The sequence below is a fragment of the Homo sapiens genome, chromosome 12 (genome assembly GCF_000001405.40).
Source record: "Homo sapiens chromosome 12, GRCh38.p14 Primary Assembly".
Lineage (NCBI taxonomy): Eukaryota > Metazoa > Chordata > Mammalia > Primates > Hominidae > Homo > Homo sapiens.
This window is the reverse complement of record NC_000012.12, coordinates 46,811,098-46,830,436: the sequence shown is the minus strand read 5'-3', so window position 1 is coordinate 46,830,436 and position 19,339 is coordinate 46,811,098. Positions and strand designations below refer to the sequence as shown.

Below are 19,339 nucleotides of genomic sequence, written 5' to 3'. Positions count from 1 at the left end.
GGGAGAAATCAGCCTATGTTGTATTTTGTTGTTGTTCCCACTACAAGCAAGTCTCCTAAAAAGTCGCTGAAATTGGTGAACTCTTTCCTGTGCAACACAAGAAGAGTGTGTGTGTGTGTGTGTGTGTGTGTGTGTGTGAGAGAGAGAGAGAGAATTTCTTAAATTCTAACAAATAAATCTATAGAAAATCTAAGTTTTGGGTAGAAGTCTGTAAAAATAGAGACATTGAAAAGAATATCTGATCTTTCCATATTTCTGAATACCAGTGTCCAGAGAAAGGAAACTTTTTATCAGGCTGATTTTATCACAAAGCAACAAAAGGCTGGAAGATTGGTGGTGTAAAGAGATAAATAACTTTTTTTGGAGGCTGCTGGGACAGGAGGCAAGCTGGAGGCTGGTCTGAACTAGATTAATGGTAATTCCGGCTCACACATATGTAGGAACTTTTACATTATATGTTTCTAAGTACTTCCTTTATGTTAACATTTGACCTTCATAACAAACTTATGAGATAGATTCTATTATTATACCCATTTTATAGATCAGAAAATGGAGATACACAGTGTGAAGAACACAAAATATTTTGGAAGTTCTACTTGGGCATTAATTGTTCATAAACGTAAATGAACAATTCTTTGTTCTTTATCAAGGGCAGAGCTGGACAGGTGACTTCTAAGGACCTGGGGCTGACTTCTTATTCTATTACAGACTAATCCTATTCCAAGCAAGCTAAAGACATGATCACGCAGCTGGACTCTCTGAATCTTTGCAGTCTTAGGACTGGACTTTTTTCTATATAAGTGACATTTGAGAAAGGAATAGTGTACCTGTGTTCCATGTCAGTTTATCAGCACAAACGTGGTGAGGACAATCACAGTACACTTAACAGCTTGTGGACTTCGTGATGTACACATAACAGCTTGTGGACGTTGTTTTTTTCTTTTTGCCTTATCCTATTTTTAGAACCTTAACCCTCCTTTTTTTTTTTTTTACTTTTTACATATCCAAAGCAAATATTTCTATAAAAATCAAAGGCTGTTATATATTTTATATACATCAAAACAATAATATATCAAAATGATTACACAGTTTTAAAAAATGTGCTTCCACCTATCAATTGAAATCATCTTGCAAGCCACTACTGCCCTGATGATGTTCTGCAGGAAGGATAAGAGGTAGAAGTAGGGGAGGGACAAGTGAAAGGAAAGGTGCTTTAAGAGCCAGTCTTTATACTAAGCCCTTTAATGTGAATCTCATTTAATCTTCACATGATACTCTATTCTATAGGTATTTGTTATCTCTGTTTTACAGACAGGAAATTGAAGAGGTTAAGGAAAGAGCCAAGAGTCACAAAGCTAGTAAGTAACAATGCTGATATTAGAATAAAATTCATCCTATGCAAAAGCTCCTGCTTGTTGCAATAAAGACAGCAGTAAAATAAAGACAACCAGAGGGAGGAGAACAAAAACTTAAGGAAACAAGGGTGTTAGAAATGTGTTACATAACACAGTATGGTGTGAGAGATAGGAGAAATGGAAAAACAGAATCACTTTCATGTCTCTTAGTTCTTTCTTCCACTGTGTATATAATGACCTAATTTCACTCATTCATTCCATAAATAATTATCAAGTGTTACTATCTTCAAAGAACTATATTAGGGAGTTTCTTTTATTCCTATCTTCCTAGCACCTAGCACAGTGCTGGGCAAATACCAGGTGCTCAAGAAATATTTGTGGAACAATGAATGAGTCTACTGGAGGAAAGAATAGATAAGGAAACATTTGCAATACAGCATGATTAAAAACCAGGGAAAAGGCTGGGCACCGTGGCTCATGCCTGTAATCCCAGCTCTTTGGGAGGCTGAGGAGAGTGGATCACCTGAGGTCAGGAGTTCCAGACCAGCCTGACCAATATGGTGAAACACCATCTCTACTAAAAATTACAAAAATTAGCTGGATGTGGTGACGTGCGCCTGTAGTCCCAGATACTCGAGAGGCTAAGGCAGGAGAATTGCTTGAACCCAGGAGGCAGAGGTTGCAGTGAGCCAAGATCATGCCACTGCACTCCAGCCTGGGCGACGGAGCGAGACTCCATCTCAAACAAACAACCAACCAACAAAACAAACAAAAATAAAAATAAAAAAAAGGAAAAATCAGATTTGAATACTCTACCAGAGAACCTGGCTTAGGAAAGGGGTCAGAGAACATTTCAAGACCAGGTGGTACCTGAGCAAGGTTTTGAAGTAGAAATAAAAGTTAGCCAGGCAAAGAATTGGAGGATGTGAGGAAAGGACTCTCAGTGGAGAGACCAGACTGAGAAAGGATAAGGAGGGAGTCAGTTCAGGAATTTAAGAGTTCAGTACTCTTAGTCAGTAGAGAATGCTTGGGAGGAGGCTGGGGAGGGAGGTGTGGTCAGGGAGATCCTTGCACATTCTCTCTGCAAGTGTCCCTTAGCTCTGCCCCTCCCCTGAATTTTGAAAGTTACCTGTGCTAACAGAACAAAGTAACTGAACATAGGAATTAGCAATACATTTTATTATTTTATTATGGCCCCATAATAGAAAGCATACAGCTTTTTTGATTGCTTTTAATGTTAGGATTTAAAACCAGTGCTCAAATGGAAAGATAAGACAACAAAGTCTTATCTTTCCATTTGAGGGAAAACCAAATTATTTTTCTGGTTCTCAAGGGCATATTCTATTTTAGCATAGATAAAATTTACACAAACATACAACAAAATCCAAACAAATGTTCTTCTATGCTTTTATGAGGGGAGAGGTGGAGGGGATTTCTCTTCTGATTTTAGTTTTTAATGGCTATATTTTTCATTTTAGTATATTATAGCAGAGTCAGGAAGTACAAATGTATTTTTAAAAGGTGATGTAGGGAATTGAATGACAGTAACAAATGCTATCCTTTTATCTTTTTAGTAGATGTTTATGCCAGTCAAGATCCTGGGTTTTCATAACAGACTTTGACAACTTTTGTTTTGTAAGGATCTATTATTCCAGGTTTTTATTCCAAGCTCAGAGGTCTGCATACCTCTTTACCATATCCATGCTTGTAAAATACTCTTGGTCATAATGTTATTAGGAAGGGAATTCAATTACTTCTACCACCCAAAGCATTATTTGAAATGTTAGCAAATGTCCATACGAAATGTTTTTCGATAGCGTGATTTCCTCTATCATAACTAAAACAAAGGAAAAAGGAGAGGAGATGGAAAAAAGAACTAAATAATACTCATGCCAGACAGTCCAGCCCAGAGAATGTCATTCCCTGTATATGATTATTTCTTGTTGGCTATTTCTGCCTATTGTTCCCAATAAATCTAATGTGTATTCATGATTAAAATGACTATTATCTCAGTTCCCTTGTTTCCCCTCAATTTTGTCTCTTTTGTTCACTACTGTCACCCTGATGCCTAACACAGTGCCTGGTATAAACAGACACTGGTACATGTTTGTTGAATGAATGAAGGAAGAAAGAAAACATGTTTCTTTCTGTTTTTTGACAGAAAATATTCTTCAAATAAACATTTTTTTCATGGACCTACTAAAGGCCTTTGCAAAATGATTTTGTGCATTGTTTATAGTCAATACAAATACTTTTAAATTGTTTACTTAATTTGCATGATTGCACATGATTAAGAGTATAAGCTTGGTAGGCAAGGTAATGTGGATATGAATCCTAATGCCATCATAAAGTTGGGCTTCCTGGGCTCAGATCTTGACTCTACCATCCAACTTCCTGGGTTCCAATTTTGGCTCTCCCACTTTTTGCCTGAGTTACCTTGAGCAAGTCAGTCCACTTTATTGCTTCACTCATCTCTGAAATGGGGAAAATAATAGTTCCAACCTCACAGGGATTTTAGGAGGATCAAATTAGTGAATATTTGTAAAACATTTAGAATCATATCTGGCACTTTTTAAAACAACAGCTATGGTATAGAATTATTGTGATGATGATACTGCATGGCACGTAAACACTCAATAAAATAGGATTGCTACTATAGATATTATCGCAATTCTTCATTTCTATAATCTGCTATGAAGATTTGGGGCCCTAACAGCCTTTCCATGTTTTGGTCCAGTGAAAGTCTTATTGTTTCTACCTTCCCTTTCACTCGTAACTCTTTCTACCCACCCTGTGTTTGTCCTGTCATTTTGCCTTGCGTCATTTATTCATTTTACACTGCATACTCCTAAGGGCAGGGACTTTGCTCTTTGTTTTGGCATAATTTAATAACACTGGGTACACTCGCGGTACTATAAAGATGTTGAAGAAAAAGAAAAAAGACGCAATTTACCAACAGGCAACTTTGGCTTACGGCGGGATAGGTCGCTGTTCTGTCTGCAATGTTGGTACTCCTGCAGGCCGCCCAGCAGCATCTAGGGGCGTGGCTGGGGGCTCTCCAGTGACCGCACGTCCTGGGCGGCCACTGGGGTGTGCGCAGCGCCTGGAGCATGAGCCGGGTGGTGGCGTGCACGGAGGATCGCGGGAGGCTGCCGCCTCGGGACACCCCACTCACACAGGTTTGCTTGCTGCTTTTGCGTGGCAACTTGGTTAGAGGGTCCAGGAGAGTGGGTGAGACGAACGTGGAAGGGGAAAGAGAAAAAGACATACTGCAAAGCACTGAAAAACGAGGTGGGTGGGAGGGATTCATTAAGAAGAGAGGCTGTGGCAGTCCTTGCTTTTAAGAAGCGTTTCGTGCATGCTAGATAGTGCTATTCAGGCTATAGTCTTGTTTCTGGAATTTTTCCAAATGGGAGGAATGTGTTTCAAGGATGCAGAGTATTCTTTAAAACCGTATGACCAAACTGACCTCTATTGTTAAAGGGATCTAACTAAAAGGGTTCGTGTTTCCCACTTTGCTTTGTGAATGCCTGAAAAGCAATCCAAAGGTTGAGAACACTGGAAAACAGAGCTATTTTATTGCAGTCCTGAGAATGCAGTCATTACTGTTTTATTCCTTCTTATCTTTTGAAGCAATACTTTAGTAATTCTTTAGTAACAGTATGCTTTAAAGAAGGTATCTGACACATTTTTGGCATGTGCCACTATGCTATATTTCATTATTCTTTCTGTACAGAGGCATCTGTAAGGAATATATATATATATATAAACTTTGTATATTAAAGTAATTATAAATTTGCATCCAGTTGCACAGAGAGGCCACCTAAACCTTTCACCTGGTTTCCTCCAGGGGTTACATCTGACACACTTTAGTACAATATTAAACCCAGGAAGCTGACATTTAAACTTCGTATATTAAAGTAATTATAGGTTCGCATCCAGTTGCACAGAGAGGCCACCTAAACCTTTCACCTGGTTTCCTCCAGTGGTTACACCTGACACACTTTAGTACAATATTAAACCCAGGAAGCTGACATTTAAACTTTGTATATTAAAGTAATTATATATTTGCATCCAGTTGCACAGAGAGGCCACCTAAACCTTTCACCTGGTTTCCTCCAGTGGTTACATCTGACACACTTTAGTATAATATTAAACCCAGGAAGCTGACATTGGAATAATGTGTGTATAGTTTCTATGCCATTTTGCCACATGTGTAGATTTGTGCAATCTGACCCACTATAGGCCTGTCAAGATGCAGAACTTCCACCTGTATCTTGCATAAGATCTCCCTTGTTCCACCTCTTTATCATTATCTCCACCTGCTCCTCGCTACCCCGGCAACCACTTGTTTTCCATCTCTATATTTTCATCGTTCTGAAACTATTATATAAATGGAATCATACTGCATGTGATCTTTTTGAGACTGAGTTTTTTTCTTTTTACACTCAACTTGATGCTCTTGAGATCCATGCAAGTTATTGAGTAGATGGATAGTTTGGTCGTTTTTCATGCTAAGTAGCATTCCAGTTGTTTGACTCTATCTAGTGCTGCACATTTTCCTTTGCTTTTTAAATCAGTGAAACTTGGAACTTCAGTGGGATTAAGGAGGTACTTGAGGGCACTTGAAGAGGTGAAAAGTGTGAGGACGAAATGTGAATATTTTTATTTTCAAAATGACATTTGTTTGTGTTAGGGCAAAAGGATGTATACACTCCATCTTCATTTAAAACACTGGAGGATTGGAAAGGAGAAAAGGAACAGGACAGAAAAAAAGTATGTACTTAGACAATAAGGTATAAAATCTAGTACCTTTTAAAATTTTTACATTGGTACAGTAATCTGTTACTTTACCTTAGTTAAGACATTTCAGAGTTCTTGAAATGAATCAAAACAATGCCTCTGCAATCGGAAGTTCCCTGCCTATCTATGCTCAGACACATACTGCCAACTGAGGGACAGTGGCATGGCTGGAAATGACAGTGAGTAGCTATTGGGTTTGACAGGGGTCACCCAGAGCCCAAAACAGCATCTTTAGCCCAAGGGCAACTATCAAGGGCAGATGTTCAGGTTCAGAGACTGTCAGTGTTACACTACTTTCACCTCCACCTCATCTGCTGCTGGGAGGAGGTCTCCCAGAGGTCCCTTCAAATCAGGTTTTAAAATGAAATGTTATTCTTTATCTGCATGCTCACAAGCATGAGAAACCTTGAAACTGGAGGCTGTAACTAGCCAAGGGAAATGCATCACTTCTGAATAGTACCTGGAAGGCTTAGGCTAAATCCCTCCCTTCAGCCCGTACCCATTGAAGAATTCCTCCCACCTCCAAAGAGAGAAGAGAACAAAATATCCACTACTATCTGAAAGCATTTGTAAATATCCCGTTGAGGTTTCGGAATTTCACATTCTGGAATTTCAGAGACATATTGTCAATTCACAGAACGAAACAGTCAGTCTGGAGCCCTGACTAGACTTGAGTTTAACTGAATGCATTGCCCTGAGTCTCTGTTTTAATGATTTCTGTTACCAGAAAAATATTCCTTGTCCTAAATCTTGGGAAAGGATGGAGTGTAGCTGGCAATGGTGGTTCCAAAGTCTCAACATGAAGAAACATCACAGCTAAAATAATTTATAACTCTTTTTATAGGTAGATCTGCTTTTCTGAGTCTTTTGAAATGGAATAGAATCATTTGTGCTGTCTTTATAATGTATTTTATTTTAAGTAAACATTAGATATCTCACATTGCTTTGCAGGCTGTTCTTCTGGGTCATATCTCCTGTGTGTGTGGGCAGGGCAGATAATTTAATCCTATAAACTTGAGGGAATGAACACTTCTCTGTAAGTCACGAGACCAAACAAAAGACCCACTGAATTTTGCATACCGCTCTTATACTGTTTACTTATTTGACTAATGATGACAGTCATTAGGAAGGTGTGATAAGAAATGTAAATATATTGACTATGATGCTCAACATTGCAGGCATTGTTTTTTACAGGGTGATGGGAGGGTTGTTTTCTGATTTTTTAAAGCTTTTTCTTTGAAGGGAAGTAATGCAGTTTTTGAAAGAAAAGTAAAATAGAAATGCCTTATGTGCATTGTATAATTACTTTTAAACTATATGTTAAACTGTGTATGTTGCATAATTACTTTAAAACTATTTCATAATATTATCATGGTACCCACATTGAAGAATTAAACCAAATATAATGCTTTCCATTATTCTTTATACCAAAATTCCTTAAAGTTTAAACTTCTTAATCTGGTAGTCAAGATCAACCTCAGCCAAACTCTATACAAACATTCTATTTTAGCTGAAGTAGACTCTTGTTTGTTGTTTCCAAGGTCAAACTTCTGATCCCATGTCCCCTGCCTGGAATCCACTCTTCTGTCTCTGAAGTCACACCATTCTTCCTATACAAAACCTACTCTATTTGCCTCAGCTCTCCAGTTCATTTCCACGTGTCTTGGAGACAGGGATCCTATCTTTTGAATCATGTTCAACATAAAGTAGGTGCCCAGTGGTGATGGACTGTCTTAGGAGCTGGGCTCAGAAGTTAGACAGTGGGTTGTGAGTTTTGGCTCAGCTATCATGCCAGGACCTTATTAGCTTTGGTCTTTGAGTAAGTTGTCTCTCAACCCTAATTGCTGTCATAAGAAGGGGTAGGGTCCCTTTATGCCTATCAACTAGGAAGACAGAATCTCCAGTTACCCACCCACTGAGACAGAAACAAATAGAAGGAGTCTTCCCATCTTAGGTCTCATAAAAATATGTATGTTTGGCACAGATTTTATTTTTGGTAAGAGATTCTAGCTTTATTCTATTCCTGTGACTGTATCTTAAATAATTACCCTTTGTTAAGTGATTGGAACCCTATGTGTACGTGTGTGTCAAAATAACACCCTCCCAAAGATGTCAAAAAAGCGAATTAAGGGGTGTGGTGCATACATGCACATTTCATATGCATACATTTCATGATCTTACATGTAGAAGAATCCTAAAGACCCCACAATAAACTCTTGAATCTAGTAAGCAAATTCAGTAAAGTTGCAGGATACAAAATCAACATACAAAATCAGTTAGATTTCTATATGTTGACAATGAACTATTCTGTCAGGAAATTAACAAAACAATCACGTTTATAGTAACATTCCTAAGGAATGAACGTAATTAAAGAGGTAAAAGTCCTATGTACTGAAAACTATAAAAGGTAAATGAAAGAAATTAAAGCAGAAAATAAATGGGAACACATCTTGGGTTAATGGAATGGAAGACTTAACATCGTTAAAATGCCCATACTATCCACAGTGAGCTACAAATTCGATGCTGTCCTCATCAAAATCCCAATGGCATTTTTTACAGAAATAGGAAAAATAATCATAAAATTTATATGGAACCATGAAAGACTCAAAATAGCCAAAGTGATTTTATTAAAGAACAAAGCTGGAGCCATCATACTTCCTGATTTCAAAATATATTACAAAGCTATAGTAACTGAAAAAATATGGTACCAAAAAACAAACAAGACAACAAAAGCTGTATGGTATTGGCATAAAGAGAGTGATAGATCAATAGAATGGCATAGAGAGCCCAGAAGTAAGCCCACACATATATGGCCAACTGATCTTCAACAAGGGTCCCAAGAACACACAATAGGGAAAACATAGCCTCTTCAACAAATGGTGTTGGGAAAACTGTATATCCACATGCAAAAGAATGAAATTGGACCTTTATCTTACATCATAAACAACAAAAAACTAAAAATGGATTAAAAACTTGAATGTAAGACTTGAAACTGTAAAACTCCTAGGATAAAACATAGGGAAAAACTTTTTAACATTGGTCTTAGCAGTGATTTATTGGATATGACACCAAAAGCACAGGCAAAAAAGCAAAAATAGACACGCAGTACTACATCAAACTAAAAGGCTTCTGCACAGCGAAGGAAATAATCAATAGAATGAAAAGGCAACCTGCGGAATGGGAGAAAGTATTTGCAAACCATGTATCTGATGAAATTAATATCCAAAATATATAAGGAACACCTACATAACAAATAACATGATTTAAAAAAGGATCGAAGGACTTGAATAGACATTTATTCAAAAAGACATACGAATGGCCAACAGGTATATGAAAAGATGCTCAACATCAGTAATCATCAGGACATGCAAATTAAAATCACAATGAAATATCACCACACACACATTAGGACGGCTATTATCAAAAACACAAAAGATAACAAATGTTAGCAAACATATGGAGAAAAGGGAACACTTGTACACTGTTGGTGCGGATATAAATTAGTACAGGCAATATGGAAAACAGTATGGAGGTTCCTAAAAAATGAAAAATAGAACTACTATATGATCCTACAATCCCACTTTCTGGGTATATATCCAAAAGAATTGAAATCAAAATCTCAGAGCGATACCTGCACTCCTATGTTCATTGCTGCGCTATTCACAATAGCCAAGTTATGGAAACAACCCAAATGTCCATGGACAGATGAATAGATAAAGAAAACGTGGTATATACATAAAATGAAATATTACCCAGCCTTGATAAAGAAAGAAATCCTGCTATTTGTGACAACATGGATGAACCTGGAGAACAATATGCTAAGTGAAATAAGCCAGTCACAGAAGGACAAATCCTGCATGACTCCAATTATATGAAGTAGCTAGAGTAGTCAAACTCAGAAGCAGAGAATAGAATGGTGGTTACCAGGGGCTGGAAGAAGTGGGGAATGGAGAGTTGCTCTTAAATTGGCATAAAGTTTTAATTATGCAAGATGAGTTAGTTCTAGAGATCTGCTGTATAGCATAATGCCTATCGTTAGGCACGAAAGTGTTGTTAATAGGGTAGATTTCATGTTAAGTGTTCTTATCTCAAACAAAACTAAACAAAAGGACACAAAGAAACTTTTGAAGGTGATGGATATATCTATTACATTGACCATGGTGACAGTTTCACAAGTGTATAGACATGTCCAATCTCATCGTTGTATACATTAAGTATGTATAATTTGTTTTATATCAGTCATACCTCAATAAAGCTGTTAAAACAACACAGTGAGGCCCACTTTAAAATCAAAATTTTGTTGCACATAATTTAACTTTTCAATGTTTCAGAGTGCCTCGGAGTCATCATTATAAATTTCATCTATAATGGCACAACTCAAGAGTGCTAGTTAATTAATACTTCTGGTTGACTGAAAGAATTTGTAGTATCTTCTTTCAAACTTTCGAGGGAACTATCAAGAAAACTATGTGTAGTAGTTCCAAACTAGGAAATTTAAACAAATCTTTTCAATTGGGAAATTTTTCAACATTCCCAAGTACAGAGAATAGTGTAATGAATCTCCAGCTTCACTTGGTTTCAACAATAATCAATACTTGTCTGTTGTAGTTTATCTATACTCACATCTTTTCTCCTCTGCTACCCCACCACAATCATTACTAAATTATTTCCAAGACGATCTAAGTCATCATATAATCTGATCCATGAATGATCACTATGTATCTCAAAAAGAAAAGAACTCTTTAAGAATAACTAAAATATCATCACATCTTAAATATAACCAACATTTATTTTCTTATTTTAATTTTTAATTGGTATTTAATAATTGGTACAGAATGATATATTGATACATATATATAATGTGTAATGATCAAATCTGGGTAATTAGCATATTCATCAAACCAACATTTTCTTAATATTATCAATTATTCATGCAGTGTTCATTTATTTCTCATATTCTCTCTCTCTCTCTCCCCCTCCCTCCCCTTAGTTAGTTTGAATCAGAATCCAAACAGGGTTCTCACTCTCATTGGTTGATAAGTCTTTTAAGTCTCTTTCAGTCCTCAGAGTTAATAACTTCTCATGTCTTTTTTCCACATCTTACGTTTTATTTGATGATGAAATCTAGTTGTCTTACAGAATTACCCATATTCTGAATTGTGTTGATTTACATGACTTTTAAAATGTCATTCTCAAACTCCAAAATTCTGCCTTCTTCAATCTAACCCTCATAAAATTGATTCCCTTTTTTTTAAATTGCAAATTGTCATTTCTTCTTCTGTTGCCCTGAGGATCCTCCAGGCTATATGTTGCCTAATTTTGATCAATTCCACTTTAATACCCATGATTTACCTAACATTTCTTCCTGAAAGAACTCAGCCTGTCTGAAGTGTCCTTTCAATCAGGTTTCAAAATGTACTGGTCTACTCACCCAGAGGCACTTGCTCAACTTTCTGTAAGATTGCAAGATATAACCAGTAAACACTAAGTGTTGTTTTGATTTTTAAAATTGTCCCACATGGCTACATTTTAAAAGTATTTTTCTATTACTGATATACATAGAAATATTTATTATGCAATTATGTATCTGGGATTTACCTTAAAATAATGGGAGAGGGGGCACAGTGGTTTAGATGTAATGATTGGCCACAGTTGATATTGGATAATGCCAGCTGAGGGTTCCTTATATTATTCCATCTACTTATGTTTAAATTTAAATTTTTTCATAATAAAGAAGTAAAAATGAGTTGTACTATATTACCAAAACTAAGTAATCAGACCTTTCACTTTGGGGTCTAGATTATAACACTTTTGCCAAGGATCATGAAAAATCATGTTTAAGGAACAATTTACTTGCTTTTCTCATTCTGCAAATCTGATTTAGCTAAAATAATCAGCATATAAATAATATTTAAATAAAATAGGGAACTGGTTTGGGATGAATGAAAATATGACTCATATAAAGGTGGTTCATAGGTTTTGTCTAAGCTGCTTCTCTTAAGACTCTAGTGTGGCAGAACTCACTGACATGCCCCTGTAACCTACCAATAGTTTACAGAATACTCCCAGAAGATGAGTGACAGCAAGACACAAACCATTGGATTATCTCATAACAAACAAATGCTAGCATGGATTATGAAGGTCACACTTACATGTTCTCCCTACTACAATGACAGATGAACATGCAGGTCTTATTTTCCCAAGATGAAAGTCAAAAGCAAACTTTTACAAAAACCTGTCATCTTCTCACTTTTGTATTATTTCTCTTTATTCTATTCAACTCTTGAAAAAATAAGCAAATTTAACACTTTATGTTTACTCAATTCACCTATACTAGAAAATATTTTTAAAGAACATATAACCTTTATTAATAATAATTTTCTATTACTTTATTAGTATATCTAAGTAATTTTACTAATAGGAATTAATTTTAACTGCAGTCAGCTATGCAAAAATCATAGTATGAATTTGCTTCAATGTATCTTTTAGGAAGTTGCATGAATTTAACATCATATATGCAAATCCCAGTCAGTCTGATTAAGAATAATTAAGAGAAAAAGAGTAAGACCCAGGGGCTCACTGATAGAAAGGGAATATAAATGGAAGCACAGTGAGAGGAGATCCTTTTGTCCAAAGGCTTAGAAGACATAAGAGGCTCCTGGGGCTTCAGGTAAGGCCTTAGAACTGGGTTTTGGTTTCAGGGGAGGGAGCAACAATAAGTGCAAGAAGGGTTGGCAATTTGTACCTTGTGATATCGTTTTCGTGCACCAGGTTAAAAACCTCTGCTTTGAGAGGCAGAGGAACAAGCTTGAGAAATATCTACTCATCTAGACCTAGTAGGTCAATTAAAGTTATCAGAAGTTTCTCCCTGTCAAGCATCTAGTGAGTCCTGTTCCTGAACCAACACTGGGAGTTAGCAAGCAGGAGACAATTCCTCTAATCCATAAAATCAAAAAGGCATTGGATGTCTTGATAGAAAAAGGCCAAACATTTCCTCTGGTATGTGTTTATCTACAACAAAGTCGTATGAGTTTGCTGTTGTTGGAACTCTTGTACAGAACCACTCTAGAAACTTTTTTAGTGAGCAAAAGGTGGGAACTCAAAATTTAATTGTATTTATTATTGCCACTTAAAACTATGTAAAAATATCATTGGTGATTTTTTTTTACTTTTATTTGTGTGAAAATGTTTTACAGATATACACAAGCCTGGCCCCAACTGCATAAACCATATCTTCCCCTTAAGCTATTAAGCTACTCTACCTGAAATTTTCCGGTCATGGACTTTTCAGGAATTTGATTCCCTCAACTGGGTAAGAGGTTATTCTATGCCAAGATCTCCCAATACCTCTGAGCTGTTACTTCCTACATAGTTACTTTCTGAATTTTTCATCAGAATTGAAATTAAAAGCCCATTTGGTGCCCCTTTGTAATTCTCTCAGTAAGACTAATATATATGCATATATTTCTGAGTTTCTACCATTATAAATATTTTGTTTTGCAAAAAAATTTAGAAAACCGTTCAGTAGCCATGTGAATACATTTTTTATTACTCCTTTATTCTCCACTAGAATTAACTGAGCAAAAATAAATGAGTGCACACCTTCTAAATAGGGAAAATGGGGAAACAGTCAAGTGTGGTAGGCTTCAAATTCCCTATAAGGTTTAGGCCACCAAATATGCTGATTGAGGCCGAAAGAAGGCCTAATCAGCTGCCCGTATTTTTATTTCTATAGAAGTTGAAGCAACGTTTTATGCATATACTTTAGAAATAGGTATAGAATGTTTTTTGTCTGTTTTTTAAAGTTTTTTGAGGTTCACTTTTCACAAATTATACTTCAGACATACAGAAAGTGTCAGGCAAAAGAAAACAAAGACATTATATTTATGTATTATGCTTTTTCTAAAGTGACAGTCATGACCCCAAATTCTTACATGTATGGTTTTGTGTTTTTTGCCAGAGTCAATATTATGCATCCAAATATTACCCTTTAAGATTCCTTTTGTAAAGTAATAATAATAAGTAACTTAGAAATTTTCTAAGGGTTTAGAAGTATTCTATGGTCTCATATTAAAATATTGCTGCTATACACATTTCCATTTTGCAGAATATCTCATTGGTGCCTATCACTAACATATTTTTGTATGTTTCTTTAAAAGAAAAAGTTTTCTTTATCTTAGAAACACGTATACTCTTTGTGTTGCAGACATTGCTATGGCAAGTCCATATATTTTATTAAATGTCAGACTACAGTTAACAGATGTTGCAGCAGTGCTGGAGGAATTAAGACCATGTCAGCATTTCTCTTTAAATATATATTTTTTCAGGGCTTTCTATGTATGAAACGTTAACTCCTTAACAAGTTAACACAAGACAAGGAATGCTAATGCCCAAGTGGCTGGATATTTTAAGGGACCTACTAAAGAAAGCCATCTCTCCTGGGGACCTGTTAATATTATTAATAACAAAAGTTGGGAACCATTCCTGAAATGTTTGCCTGGAGGCCTACGAATTAAATTTGTCATCTGATTTTTAGCCAAGAAATACAGAATTAAATTTTTGAATTGGAGTTTAGTTATTTAATATTTGATCGTTATTCTGAATTCAAAATAATCTACTGCTTATGAATAGATTCCCTTAAAATATTGTGTGCCTAGGCGATTTTATGGAGTCCACTGATTTAAAAATATACAGCCAACAACAACAGCAACTAATATTTATTTAGCTCTTACTCTATCCCAGGCCATATTCTAAGGTTGTAAATTATCTCATTGAAGAAAAGTAAATAAACTAGACACATGCCTTCTTTACTAAGTTACTGCTCTGTGCAAAAATAAAAAAGGAAGAAAGGGAAGGATGGAAGAGAGGAAGGGAAGAGTTGAATAACGAGCAAAAAGTGGTCTTAATTTACCAGTCTACTCAAGAGATAAAAGGAAGGCCATCTCAATATGATTCATATTCTCAATCTCTGTGTGTGTGTGTGTGTGTGTGTGTATATATATATATATATATATATATATATATATATATATATATATCCTTTAGCCATTTATAATCCTTGAAAAGTCATTTTGCCCAAAAATCTAGTTAATACAGTATACTATCTCATATACATCTTCTATTCAATTATTCTCAAATAATTTTAGCAACCATAACATAGAATAACTGTGATTACATGAGATAATGCAAAGCTTTGGAAGAAAATTGTTTTTTAAGCATTTTAGGTGAAAACTCATGCCACAAAGCCATGGTACGTGATCTATTTCTCCACACTGAAATGAATAAAACTCCTCATTTCTAAATCTCAAAGAATGAGTGAAACTGGACCTAATAAAGTATTTGACACCACAGCCTTTTAGTCTTCAGCTCAAATTCTAAGCAATCTTAGCCAGGTTAACCTCAAATTAATGAGAAGTAGCATGTATGCATGCTTGCAAGACTGCCTTGAATTTAAGAGATGTAAAGATGGGAGATTCCCATGTATCTTGTCCAAGACAAGCATGTTGTCTTGTTTGATCAAGAAACTGCCTCAAAGAGAGCCAGTCATCCATTCTTGCTGCCAGCTAATCCATGCACTGATTCATAATGATTAAAAACGTCTTATATTTGATTCTACTGAATGTGATTAGACCAAAACTGTGTGGCTGTTTTGGCAATTAGTACTAAAATGCTCAGCAACATCAAATGGTACAGTGTGAGTGAAATGTAGGTCACTTACTTTAGCATTTGGAAAGTGTGTCGTGGTACATCTTTGGGTCTTCATGTTTTATCAATCTCACAAAAAAGATTAACCCAAAGCAAAGCCAACCAACCCCCCAAATCTGCCAGTACACTTGCATGTTTAAACACTGGCGCTGATGACAGGTTCAGGGGTAAATATGTACCATGGGGCTGTTCAGCTTCACAGGTTGGTTAATATTAAACAAACACATATTGCAAACTGTGCCTTGTTATGAGGTTGTTTTCTGAGATTCCAGGGGTCAGGGTCAAATCCTCACATTTTTCACCTTTTCCCCAGTGCCAACCAATAGTATAACAAGTGAAATAATAGTCTAATACACAGTAACAATACACTTTCAAAGCAAAAAGTGTTGAAGCTAATTTAATTCTATAATCTATTTTGCTAATGTCATTTCACTTTTATAAAAAAGAACAATAGAAATACCTTGTATGTTTATAATGCTGTATATCCAATACATCATTTAACCCTCACAATAACCTTGTCTAAGTTTTCATTAGACCCAGTATTAAAGAGAAAACTGAGTTCCGGAATATTTGCATGACTTTACTTATTCAAAAAAGACTTATTAAATCGGTATCATATTAGGTATTGAAGTCAGAGACAATTCTTTAAATATGCATGTATAACAAATGCTCACAAATGTTCACTATGTGCCAGATGCTCTTCTCAATGCTCTACAAATATTAACTTACTTAATCCTCATAACAGCACTGTGAGGTAGGCACTATTATTATCTCCTTCTTGTAGATGCGGAAACTGAGGCACAGAAATGGCAAATAACTTGCCCAAAGTCAGACAGGATAAAAGACAGAAGTCGGATTTAAGTCTAGGCAGTGGAGCTCCAGAATCTACTATTTGACTCTGTGCTGTGCTGAATAAGACACAGTATCTGTGTTTGAAGACTTCAGAGTCTAGAAGGGCAGGCATGTAAACAAATATGTTACAGTGCAACCCTTAAGCTCAACAGTGAGGCTTGCAAGAGGCACAGACAGCACGAAGGAGGAAGGGGTTAACTTGACTTATCTAAGGTCTCTCAGCTCCTAGGCAGCAGAGTGGGGATTGGATCCGAATCCTTGAGTTTGAACTCCAGAGTCAATGTGTTCTCCATTTCACTGGGCAGATCCATATTTGAGAAAAAGAGTTCGGATTTACAGCGAGAAAACAATAACGAACTTAGAGGAACATAGCATCTGAACACAGGATGAAAGCTGAGCTCATTTGAACAGAAAATAAAGGACTGTGCTTTGTAATAAATATAAATACAGACATAGATATAGGTATGCAGATCTCTTTGTTTATATAACATATAATTAATAAATTAATGTACATATGTATATGTCAACAGAACTCTTGTGAATATCAGTTCAGCTGTAACTCTCCCAGGTTATCTTAAGGCTTATGGTCAGTCAGAATAAAACAGGGCCAATGTGAGGAAGCAGAAGGAAAGCCAAAAGACATAGAGACACTGATGTCAACCATTCTGGGTGCATAATAGATATTCAAAGATTACTCACTGATGGAATAATTGGTTAATTGACTAATTGATTAAAAACAGGAAAGGGAATTAAAAAAATACTAAAGACAGCTCATTCCAATTCACATTTAGTGAAAATTTTGCTGAGGAGAATTAGTGAAATTGAAACATTCAGAATTGAGATTTCATATCGACATGTCAGAATTTTATGCCCAACATTTCTTTTGGATGACCACTTTGATATTTCTCTGACCCCTTTTTAAGTGTAATTACTACTTATTGACATTGTTAAGGTTTTTAATCCAAACAATGGCAAAAAAGAGTTCCACAGGGAGAAAGAAATTTGGCTAGTTTGAACTCCAGTCATGTTTATAGTTTATTTTAGGTTTGTAAAATTCCTTGCTTTAATTTACTAAAATAAAAGAATGTGTACATTTTTTCTGCTGCCACCAATAGTTCTATTGTCACCCTAGGAACTATATACTATTTTATAAATGAGAAAAAAGCTCATACAGTTTGCCAAGTTGTTGATAGCACAGCTAGTAATTTATGGAGTCAGAATTAGAACCCAGATCTTCTGAATCAAAGTCCAGCACTGAGTGTTAGCATAACAGAAGAGAACATGTTCAGACATTCAGATCAATAGGGTGTCAGAAGACTTCTCATGTAGATAAAAAGGGATGAACAGACAGTTTCAAGACAAAAACAGTGAAGCTCCTCTCAGGATTCCTCAGAAAAAGCTAATGCTAAAAGTCTTAAGCAAACATCAAAGGAAATGCCATCAGCCTTTAATTTAAAGAGAAAGAAAAGATGCAAGCAAAACTATTTAAGTCAATATGATTATCTTATTCACATGTAAAAATCAGATTACCCATCCAAATAAGCACATATCAGTCTTTCAACTGTTACTTGTAACACTATACTAGACCCTATTAAGAAATAATTAAGGAATATAAATGCTTGCAAATTAAGATATTAATTAATATTACTGGAAAATTGCTCATATATAATTAACTTAAGCATTGATCTTCACTTAGGTGGATTTTAAAATAATTAAGACAAGTTGAAATATGTTGAAATTCAGAGTCTAACTTAAAAAATCAACTTCAAATATCTAGGAAGGAAGAGTCAGGATTTCTATAGTTAAATATTCAACTCCTGTAAGACTTGCAATTAGCTTTTTTTTTGACATAGTTTACATCATTTGAAGCAAAATACTTCATGAACCTAAGCTTTTCTGTTCTTAGCCTAATACAATAATCCTGATGGTCCAAACACAAAGCAGAGGACCAGGTCCACATAAACACTCTCTCGAGGGATGCAATGTAAGAAGGATTGCCTCATGCTACCCAGGTGGTTTTTACTGTTTGCAGTAACCTTTATTATCACAATTTCTAACAAAACACATTTTCTTCATGTATCTGAAATCTCAAGCTCTATGTGGAACTGCTGAGCTGGACTTTTTTAATGAACTCATATGAATTAAACATAACAAAGAAAAGACATGGTATCCTCAGCCCTCTGTGATCCCTGCACTGACCTTTCCAGTGGTGTTTTCTATTCTTTCAGAAACACCCAGCTGCCAGTAACTGCTTCTTGCCTCCTTGCCTTTGCTTGTGCCATCTGCTCTGCCTGCAGTCTGCTCCCCATCGCATTTCTCCTGCCAACTTCTATTTGTTCTTTCAGATTTAGCCCAGCTGTTACTTCCTCCAGTAGCTTCTCTGCCCCTTTCAAGTTGAGTTGGGTGCCACACTTCTCCTGCCCCTCAGATGTCATGGGCATTTTGTGCATCCTGTTACATCATCATGACCTACATAAGCAATGAATTCACTTGAAAGACTAGGTCTTGAGAGGAGAGATTGGGTCTTTTATTTTTTAATTGTCTCTTTGCCTTAGCCCCTAGCATAAAATCTGGCACATGTAGGTGTTCAGTAATGTTTGTTGAATGAATGAGATGATTCTTTA

The 19,339-nt window shown here is 36.0% G+C and overlaps 1 protein-coding gene across 3 annotated transcripts in view, besides 2 other annotated features; it reads left to right on the top strand.

The window, feature by feature from the left end:
- The window catches only part of SLC38A4 (solute carrier family 38 member 4), a 67,671-nt gene that overhangs the window by 1,995 nt on the left and 46,337 nt on the right, over nt 1-19,339 (top strand). For 2 of the 3 annotated variants that reach the window (NM_001143824.2, NM_018018.5), the window contains exon 1: nt 4,440-4,534. The exons of the other annotated variant lie outside the window; for it this stretch is intronic. The gene's annotated coding sequence lies outside the window, so the exon portion shown is untranslated. Of the gene's footprint in view, nt 1-4,439; nt 4,535-19,339 lie in introns of those variants that run through there. 3 annotated transcript variants of the gene reach the window in all.
- Nucleotides 3,864-4,421: an enhancer, noted in NCBI's record as "H3K4me1 hESC enhancer chr12:47219799-47220356 (GRCh37/hg19 assembly coordinates)". NCBI's record gives its function as "activates a minimal SCP1, AML or CMV promoter by ChIP-STARR-seq in primed H9 embryonic stem cells {active_cell/tissue: H9 hESC(primed)}" and the evidence as "EXISTENCE:reporter gene assay evidence [ECO:0000049][PMID:30033119]".
- Nucleotides 4,422-4,980: an enhancer, noted in NCBI's record as "H3K4me1 hESC enhancer chr12:47219240-47219798 (GRCh37/hg19 assembly coordinates)". NCBI's record gives its function as "activates a minimal SCP1, AML or CMV promoter by ChIP-STARR-seq in primed H9 embryonic stem cells {active_cell/tissue: H9 hESC(primed)}" and the evidence as "EXISTENCE:reporter gene assay evidence [ECO:0000049][PMID:30033119]".